General features: G+C 35.7%; 1 long non-coding RNA gene across 1 annotated transcript; it reads right to left on the bottom strand.

The window, feature by feature from the left end:
* Positions 1 to 6,610: 6,610 nt before the first annotated feature.
* On the bottom strand, positions 6,611 to 9,079 carry LOC107986239 (uncharacterized). The gene is made up of 3 exons (XR_001741527.2): positions 8,725 to 9,079; positions 7,918 to 7,975; positions 6,611 to 6,885 (listed from the first exon to the last, which is right to left on the bottom strand). It is a non-coding gene; the product is annotated as an uncharacterized LOC107986239 (long non-coding RNA).
* Between the last annotated feature and the right edge of the window lie 1,117 nt (positions 9,080 to 10,196).

Genomic DNA, 10,196 nt, shown 5'->3' with positions numbered 1-10,196 from the left:
GTTTACCTAGCAAAAGACAAAATATTGTACCTAGAAAATTAAATATCACAGATACTAGGAGTACTGTGTTGTAATTAGGAACAATGTAGAACTCAGAGGGCAGGCTTCTTGGTGAGGACAATGATAAATTTTAGATAGGATGACCATATGTCTAGTTTTCCTGGGTCAATCTCAGTTTATATCTGTTGTCTGGGTATAGTTATTAAGAAGACAATTAAAATATTTCATTCTCAAAAAGGTCACAGTTTTAGCCAGGTACAGTGGCTCACATCTGTAATCCCAGCATTGGGAGGCCGAGGTGGGCTGATCACTTAAGCCCGGGAGTTGGAGACCAGGCTGGACAACATGATGAAACCTCATCTCTACAAAAAATAAAAATATAAATAAATAAGTAAATAAATAAATTGGCTGGGCATGGTGGTTGGCACCTGTAGCTCTATCTACTCATGAAATTGAGGCCATACGACCCTTTGAGCCTGGGAGATCAAGGCTGCCATGTGAAATAAGCTGTGATCTAGCCACTGCACTTCAGCCTCGGCAACAGAACAAGATCCAGCATTAAAAAAAAGTCATAAATTACGTGGAAATGTTAATTATACTTAATAGAATAATATCCAAAATAAACTGTAGAGTACATAATAAGAAAGATGAGTAAAATAAAGATAAAGGTTAGAAAGAAAGATTGGAGGTGTATTGATACAGAGAGGAACTTTGTTCCTGGGAATAGACTCACTGAATGAAATGATGAAAAAAGTGGAGGTTGAAAAATTGCTTTCACAGCATGAAAACAACAAAGTCATTTAAGGATTAAAGAAGTTGTCAGTCACGAGAGGCAAGCCAAAAGGCTACTGTATTGTGGAACCAAAAATAAAAGAGATTTGAGAAGACAGCAGTAGACTCCTGGTAAAATAATGCAGATATCAAGGGGATTAAAGACCAAGATGAGTTCATTGATTTTATGACTTAAAATCTGTGCAAGAGTAAGCCTCTGGAATCTGAAAGTTATTATACAAATAGTATTATATCCAACCGAGTGCTTGATAAAAAGGAGCTAAGAAACTAACTTATGTGTCAGTATAAAACAGATATTTCTCCTTACCCTCTCCCTCCCAAATGGTGTAATAAAATTATCTGCTACTGTCAACAGGCAGCACCACATACACCACTGTCAAATTTTTCCATTTCTAAAGGTAGGTTGTTGGAATGGGTTACATCTTTTATACAGGCAATACAATGATATTTCTTAAAAGTACAGCATCTTTTGCTTAAGTACGGTGAGAACAGAATCCAGATATTAAGGTAATACAAGGTGAATGGCTAGTGGTGAGTTGCAAGCAGCAATTCAATGTCTTGAATTCAGTTTGGATTTATCAAGGTTAAAAAGACCTGTAATGCCTGAAAAAAACATATGTGTGAGAGAATAAGTTGACAATACAGAGAGACAAATTGGACTTCTGAATGCTTGAGGAAGGGAAGACTCAGTTCAAAGGCTGGGATGGAGAGTTAACAGAGGTAAGGAACACGCAAAACTCTCCAGAACTGAAGAAATAAAAAAGTGGTTATGCAAACAGAAATTGAGGAGAGAAAGGTGAGATGAGGATGTAAAAGCACACTTAATGAGTTTACGTTCATCCAATTAAATTGAACAGACTTTTTAAGAATAAGAATCTGTATGGTATTTAAAACAAAACAAAACACTATATACAATTTATGCTTGGTGATAATAACTTTACATATCCCCAAACTCACCAAACATACCTTATATGCAAAAATGCTGAGCAGCTGTACTCGGCATGCTCTCTCCACACCTCTTCATCTATTCAGGTACAGATTATTTTTAAGACTCATCTCAAGTCTATGTCCTTCCCCAAATCTGTCTTTGCTGCTCTAGTACACAGTAATATCTCACTACCCTGAATACTCATAGCACTTGGTGTGTGTCTCATACGTTGGATACATCACCATCTGTGGCTCTTTCAAAGTGTAAATATTTCTTGCTCATATTTCCAAATGATTACAATCTCATATGAGTTAGAGACTATATAATTTTTTTTGTTTGTTTTACACCATGGTGATTCATCTCATTCCTTGTAAGTGAATTAAATGAAAATTTAAAATAATACATACATACATACATACAACTGAGAGATTGGGAAACTGAAAATGGAGATGTTTTTCAACTGCACAAATATTGTTAACTAACATGAAATAAAATAGAAAAACCGCTTGCAACATTTCAAAGGCAGCCAGTAAAAATACATCCATAAAAATTCTTAAAAGTATTTAATATTGATATTGTATTATGAGTGAAAGGGGTCTCATAATACAATAAACTCATATGGTATTATGAGTTTAGAACATAGATTGCAAATGCAATGTGATTGGAATACTTCTGATTTTTGTGTAACTCCATTCCAATATAATGAGTCTGTTCACAATTGGGAAAAAGTAAAACGCCATTTATAAGGAAGTGAAGATAATTTAAGTTTAGACATAAGCAAGCTAAAAGAACAGATTTTTGAGGCCTCTCAAGCACACTTAACTGCTTTACCCAGTGCTGAAGTTTTAGGTGGTATCTCTGAGGGTTTATCTAATCTCAACCCCATTCAATGGGTAAAACATTTGGGAGGATCCAATACTGTTAACTTTGTTCTGTGTATAATTTGTGCTATTGGTTTATTATTCATGTGTAAAATTGGAAAAATTTTTCTTCATTCCAATCGTGATCAGCACCAAGCTATGATTGCTACGGTTCATTTAAATCAGAGAAATGGAGGAGATGTAAGGAGACCCCCTGAAAACTATTGCTATGGAATAAAAGATGAAATGCTCCTGATTATTGTAAATACAAAATTGCATGCAGGATTGTGTAAAGACAATGCCAGGTTGGACTGCCAGAATGAGCCAACAGCACGTGATGTGCTTCCCCCTGCAGAGAGCCTATGAAGGGACGTGCAGCCAGGGAGGTTTCACATCACCAAGATTCCTATCCCAGAAAAGCAGATGTTCATAGCTGTGGGAATGGAATGCGACCCTTGTGGAGAGCCTATAAACAGATGCATGAGGGGCGCCTGTCCATATGGATAAGATAGGGCTATAAACGCCCTCATCTTGCCATGGCTCTTCTAGTCCTCTTCAGGGTTAAGACATACTCCCTTCTGAGAATTTCTGGTCTAACTGGTTGTCTAGCTTCACATCCTGTTTCTATGGATTGTTTGTAATCAGCTTTTGCTGCAATTGTTACTGCTGATTAATATCTTGCTAATCATAGGTTTTGGAAAGACTGTGTTTCTGTTTTAAGGCTCTGTTAGAAATTACTAATGCACACACTATATTGTAAATTCTTATCTCTGTATACTGTACTTCTGCATACAGATGTTATGTTAAAGAATTACTTCATCCCCATGTGACCATCTCACCTCATAATCAAATGACCCTAAATCCCTCACTAACCTACCCCCGCCCTCACTAAACTTAATAATAAATGCTGGTATATCCAGTGCATTGGCAGCATCGCGGGACCAGAAGGTGGTGACCCCCCTGGACCCAGCTTTCACTATCTTGTGTGTGTCTATTATTTTTCGACCTGCCGATCTGCCTGGGAACAAAGAAAGAGCCCCGTTGCATTGCGGGCTGCTGGCCAGATCCCGCAATATATATGGATCTTAAAGTATTTAATATTGATATTATATTCTATATAGCCATTAAAAAATCTCTTACAAAAGATGATTTCATCACATCAGATAATTGAAATATTTCTTTTAAAAGAATATTCAAACATATTTACTTTATAATGGTTTTGATAGGAAAAATAAAAGTATGCTTAGATATGAGACAGGAAAATATACAATACAGGAACTAATATTTGCTATCCTACATTAGTCAGATACATTACAGTTGCCTTTTGGCACCTTGACACTACCTTCAACGTTTTCCAAAGTGAATATTTATTATTTATGCAATTAAAATATTCATGTACTTTAAAGTACTTAATTGCTAATCTTATAAAACAATTCTAAAATTCATCAAATGAGATCTATGATCATAAGTTGTACTAAAGAGGAAATATACTATAATTGTGTGCAAACATTAGATTGTGCCACAATATATAACAATCCTACATTGTTATAATGTAATTAATCAAGAGCTCATGAATTCGATTACTTCTAAATATATCAAAAGAAGATATGATATGACAGGCCTTGACATAGCACTTGATCATCCACAGAGTTACTGTTATATGTAAGGCACAATGATAAGTACTGAGAATGTGTCACAGAAAGAGTTCTTCATCAAAATTTATTCACAGTTTGAATTTCTTTTTAATTATCTCTTTAGTACAGCATTATCATTACCATGGCCACAAGGTATAAGAGAAGGATAACATGTGCGATGGTTTAAACAAGGGTCAGAGAAAAACTTGATCTTCTTTACTCAGTTTTAAAGGTTCTCTTTTTGCTAAAATACCTAATTTTGTCATAGTCAAAAATGTTTATTTTCTAACATTGCAAATTCTGTAGAGATGCTGAGGTGATTTATATCAATATATGAATTCAAGATTCCATGATGATAAAGGACACTATTAATTAAATTGGAGTGCTAAAGGAGTTTGGAAAATTTGGAAGCACCCAACTGTAAAGGACAGTTTATGAGAGAATAAGTTGTTTGCATTGTCATATAGGGTATAAAAATCAATGACAGCCATTCAAGCACAATAGTAGTAATCTGAAAATATTAGGGTTTTAGAAAGAATATTCTATCCATGATATAGAAAACGGAATGCAGGATCGTGAAGCTAAAATAGAGCAGTGAAGATGCTTTTGCAGCTGAGAATAGGTGAAAACAACCAAGGGACATGTATGAAGTGAGAAGACAAGGCCAAGATTTAGAATCCCAGGGAATGGCAAAAAAAAAAAGATTAGCAGAAGGATGCCATGATGGGAGAGGGCGTGTATGATACCTAGAAGAAATAACCAAGCAGGTAGAAAATTTTTCATCCATTCATTCATTTATTAATTTAAAAACTACTCATTGTGTACCGATCATGGGGAGGCATTTTCATGGAATGTAGGGATAATGAATCAAATAGAAATTATACTATCATGAAGTTTATTTTTTATATCTTAAAAGGAAAGTTTATAGTACTCTAAGTAAAGCAAAATAGGAAACAATTAGTGATCTAGACAACAAATGAAAGAGAAAGTGAGTCTAGAAAATGTGGGGCCAAGGAGAGGGAGCTTGTTTAAAATAGAGCACACTGGGAAAGCCTCAGTGAGTTTGACATTTGAGCAGAAACCTGATGGTGATGAGGGAGAAGGCCAAATGGATACAATGGGAACCAAGTTCCTGGCACAGGGACAGCAAGCAGCAAAGGTACTTGAGACAGGTGGAAACTTGGAGTATTCAAAGAACAGCAAAGAGGATGTAAGGCTGGATGAGAGTGACTGCAGGGAGAATTAATAGCCAGCACATCACACAGCTCTGCCCTTGAGGTAAGGGTCGTGGCCTTCTCTCTGAGAAAGAGAGGAAGTTTTGAAAGATTTTAAGCAGGAGTAATGTGATTGTAATCAGATTAGATTTGAAAAACAATCATCTGACTTCCTGATATGAGGGCATGGGCAGGGAGCAGTGGAATCAAGGCATAAGGCAGAGACACCAGTCAGGAAGTATTCCAGTGACCCAAGGGAAAGAGGATGGATGTGTGGGTAGTAGCAATGAAAGTGATGAGAAAATTATTTGATTCTGAAAATATTTTTGAGGAGAAGACAAATAGCAGATGATGTTTCAGAAAAACATGGATATCATTTTTAAAGGGTAAAGGAGTAAAATATTGATTTAAATATTATTATGTAGTATTTCAAAGTGCAATGTTTTTAGAGGAATATAGAAACAAAAGCTATACTTGCATAATCTGAAAGCAAATAAGAATTTGGTCTAGATGACTTTTACTTTCTTTAGCTAGTTCTATAGAACTGTTGCTAGCTCCTGTTCTGTAGTCATATATTGCAGTTATCACTTCATTTAGGATAAATATTTTGTTTTCTTTGTCTTGTTCCAATTAACTTTGTATCATTTCTAATTTTAAAGATGAGGGAGGGAGGGAAAGAAGGAAAGGAGGGAGGGAGGGAGGGAGGAAGGAAGGAAGGAAAAACAAAACTAGATACTGAAATGTTATATAGAGAAGGGAGAACATAGGGTGAGTGAAAGTTGGTTAAATCACAGTCTGTCAGAATTTTAAGTCTGGGAGACAAGTGCCAGTTGACAAATCTCAGGGCACTTCACTAACTGTGAGTTGGGGAGGCATAATGCTCTGAAACTATCTTTGGGGATCAAACAATCTAAGGAGATGGTGTCTAAGTCAGTCACAGTGTAGTCAATTTCCGTATCCTTTATTCCAAGGATGCGGAATGAGGGGAAAGGACCAAGTTGTGAAACCATTAGTGGTAGGAGCCACAGAGTGGTGAGAGAAGCTACAGACTTTGTAGAAATTCCCCAAACAGGTCTTTGGCAATAATAGAAAGGAGTAAACTGAAGTTTAAAGGCTAGTACCTTTTTCTTCCACCTAATTGTATCTTTGGAACACATGGTAGGCAGAATAATAACCCCCACAGATGCCCAGACTCTAGTTATTTACCTGGTAAAAGAAGCTTTGCTGAAGACCATCAAAGGCCTGTAGCTCCTAGGCCATATCAGGTACTGGAACTTTGTAACTAGTATTTTTACATTGCTCCAGGGACTTAGGTTTGAAACAACCCCACCTTGCAGGGTCTTCATGAGATAAGTTACTAGATAATCCAGCAAAAGTTAGATATCTTGCTCTGATGACAAACATCTTCCAATGCATCTTCTTCTCTGTTTCCCAGGCACCAGCACATATCTCTGGCCCTGTGTTATAGTACAGAAGCAGGATTTTCAGTAACTTAGTATACTTAAGTTTTAAGAAAAGAGGTATAGATGATAAATAATGAAGCTAAAGACATGTGGAAAGGGGACACTCCATGTGTGGCCTGGTACAGCATGGTAATGGGTTTGCAGGTTATACTCATGAATGGGAAGCTGAGAGAGGACTGTAAACAGGAAGCACCATGATCAGTAACGTAGGTGAGCACATGGATATTAGAAGTGTTCTGTTCTGTATAGGTTGAGACTGATGTCCCCTATAGGAATTATAGGAGGAGTTGCTTAGATGGCAATGGAATTAGTAGTCTTAGAGCTCCAGAAAGTGTTGCAGGCTATTTAAGGACACTGAAGTGGCAAAGTTCCCACATGGAAAGAACATAAAGTGAGAATAGAAAAGCCTTAGGACAAACCCCTCAGGAACAGATGCACTTAAAGAAGGTAGAAGAGCAGGACTTCCTATAGGCAATCACAAAAGAGCAAGCCTAGACAGAAGATCACAGCCTGAAAAAATAAAAAGGTCTCTCATAGAAGTCAAAGAGTTCAAAGAAGAAATCATGATCCACAGTGACAAATAGCCAGTGATGTCTTTGTATCTGTTGCTAGGAAAAGAGGGGAGAACCCTGATTGGTAGCATTTGCTGATTTCTGTGTTATAAATATTCCCAATACGGTCAGTTTCAAACATGATGTCAGTTGGCTCTCAAAATTCCTCCAATTTGAACAATCAGCTTTTTTGAGTGGCTAAAAGCCAGCTCCTACATACCACCACAACAAGTTGAACTAAAGCAAAGCTGAAAAGAATTCATTAGATTACAACTTTCATTATTGAGGCTCTTTTATGTGTGTGTTGGAGGGGGGATGGCGGCAGGCAGAGAGAGAGAGAGAAGGAGTACATGAGAGGCTTGAGTACAGTGTCCTTTTGCATAGCACAAAGCCTGCTTTTATTCTTCATTCTCAGCCATGGCAAACAAACAAACAAAAAACACTGAGCTTGATAAAAACTATGTCAATTACTTACCACACTAAGTAAATCTTCCTTCGTATTCCAGGTATTTGTAGTTGTATAGATCTGTCTCCTATACATTGAATAACAGATAGGCAAGGTTTTCATTTCAGAGATACATAAAAATACAAATAGTGACAGCTGTATTTGAAATAAAACAACACAATAGTATCTCATTTTAAAGTTTAGTAGTACGACACCATGTGTAATTAATACTTATACAGGAATAAATTCGAGCCTTGGTGTTTTTGTGACTTTTTATCTTATTTCTTTTCATAATTGGTACCAAGTTATTTACATATTCGAAAAACAAATATACTTAGACTGCACCTAACCTATAAACTTTTTTATGACAGAGACCATATTTTCAATATCAGAACACTGCTAAACTATAATATGGAGATTTTCACTTAGCAATTAACTATGTATTCCAAATTTAATTCTATTTGATATCTAACACAAATTTTTACAGGGTTTTCTGCCAAAGGCATTTAATATTATTGCTAATTAAGTGGCTGAATAGAGGAAGAGAAAGGAAATAATGACTTTAAAAGACAAAATATTTGTCCATGAAAATATTCAGTGCAAGTTTGCATCTTCCTTAAGAATGCTTCATGTACAGATCATCCTCTAATAAAGCCAGACAATTTCATGTTCTTAGGTGTTTTTATTTTATTGACTGGCTGCATTTAAACAAAACCGAACCACTGTGCTTCTGTTGCAGTCAGTTAACTGCACAATGTTGTGAGAATTTATCATTGAGAAGAGTGACTGGCTTCACGCTATGACTTCATATATACATCATCTACTTGGCTCATTTACCTGGTACTAGCTCACAAGGTTTCCTGTTACCCAGTTCATCTTCACATGCTTCATCTTCTCCCAGAAAATATTTTTTTTCTGCTTTGAAATGGGGACAAAATACATTTCACTTAGGCTACTGTTTAGTGTATGCTGCTTCCCTTTTTCAAAGTACTAAAACTGCTGTCGGGCTACTGTACTTCTTGTAAGTTTCACTAAAGCTTTTGTCATGGGCCCAAAATGCAGTGGAAATTTAGTGATATATCTCCAGATATCAAAGCCTGTCCTGTGGCCATCATAGTAAAATATCCTTCTTTGTTATTGCTAACATCACTCTTTAGAGTTTCTCATCCTTTTAAAGGTCTACTGAAGAGTCAAAAAGTTTAAGGTCTTTTGTTTTGGGTTTGGATTATATTCATTAACCCATTAGACATGCCTTCTTCTGGTTAATATGTAATTTTTCACCTTGATTTAACGTTAGCTGGCCTTGTTTGTTGTTTAAGAGACTCATTAGTCTATGTTAAATATATACCTACTAATTGCTACTCACCCTAAAGCATCCTCTGTAAAGTTGCCCATAGAACTACAGTTTGATCCTAGATAAATATCTGTAATTCAGAATGTTTGACCCCATGATTTTTTTTTAATTTTGGTTTAAGTTGAAACCATTGTTTATTTTCCTCACTCATGGACTCTTTTCAACATACTATCAGTACTATAACATATCTAGAGTAACAAAAATGGTTATTACTTATTAGTGACTTTCGAAGATGACTATTTTTTGTTTCCAAAAGTGAACTTCCTGTGCATCTCATAAGCCCTACTTTCAGAAACACATGGCTTTCTAAATTTATTAAAAATTTGATTTCATGTAATTCGGTAATAAACCAACATCCCCAAACATATTTTCATTAATTTAGATTAATAAGCCCTGCTAATACATGCCACACAGGGACTAATTTTGACTAAAAAAAGTCACTTCAATGGGACTAATGCAATGACGTTCAAATATAAAATTAACCTCTGCTGCAATATTTTCTATTATTCTAATCACGAGACCATTTTTGTACCATTTCTTTTTACAAGTAATTTGTACAGTCAGTAAACTTTCCCTGACATTTTTCATAACATTTTAATTTTATGCCAGGTGAATTTACACGATTTTTTGGTTTGCCCTCCTGACAATATATCTACTATTACATCAGTCTTTCTCGTGGTCTGTCATCAAACCAAATTTTATGCAATTGAAAAACAAATATACAATGGTCACAGAAAAATGTAGCATTAAAGTCAAACAGTTGCATAAACCTAAATTGTTCAAAAAGAGTTAGTGGGAAAATGACCTACTAACAGAACATCTACTAAGACAGAAAAAATATTCTAACTTGGGAAAGTTCCTAAAAATTTTATCATGCCCAGGCAGCAAAGATACTTTCTAAAATCAACTAGCATATCTTTGCTCTAAATTGAAATCTTTATATGTAAAATGTATT

The sequence above is a fragment of the Homo sapiens genome, chromosome 4 (genome assembly GCF_000001405.40).
Source record: "Homo sapiens chromosome 4, GRCh38.p14 Primary Assembly".
NCBI classification, from domain to species: Eukaryota; Metazoa; Chordata; class Mammalia; order Primates; family Hominidae; genus Homo; species Homo sapiens.
This window is presented reverse-complemented; position numbering and strand designations above follow the sequence as displayed.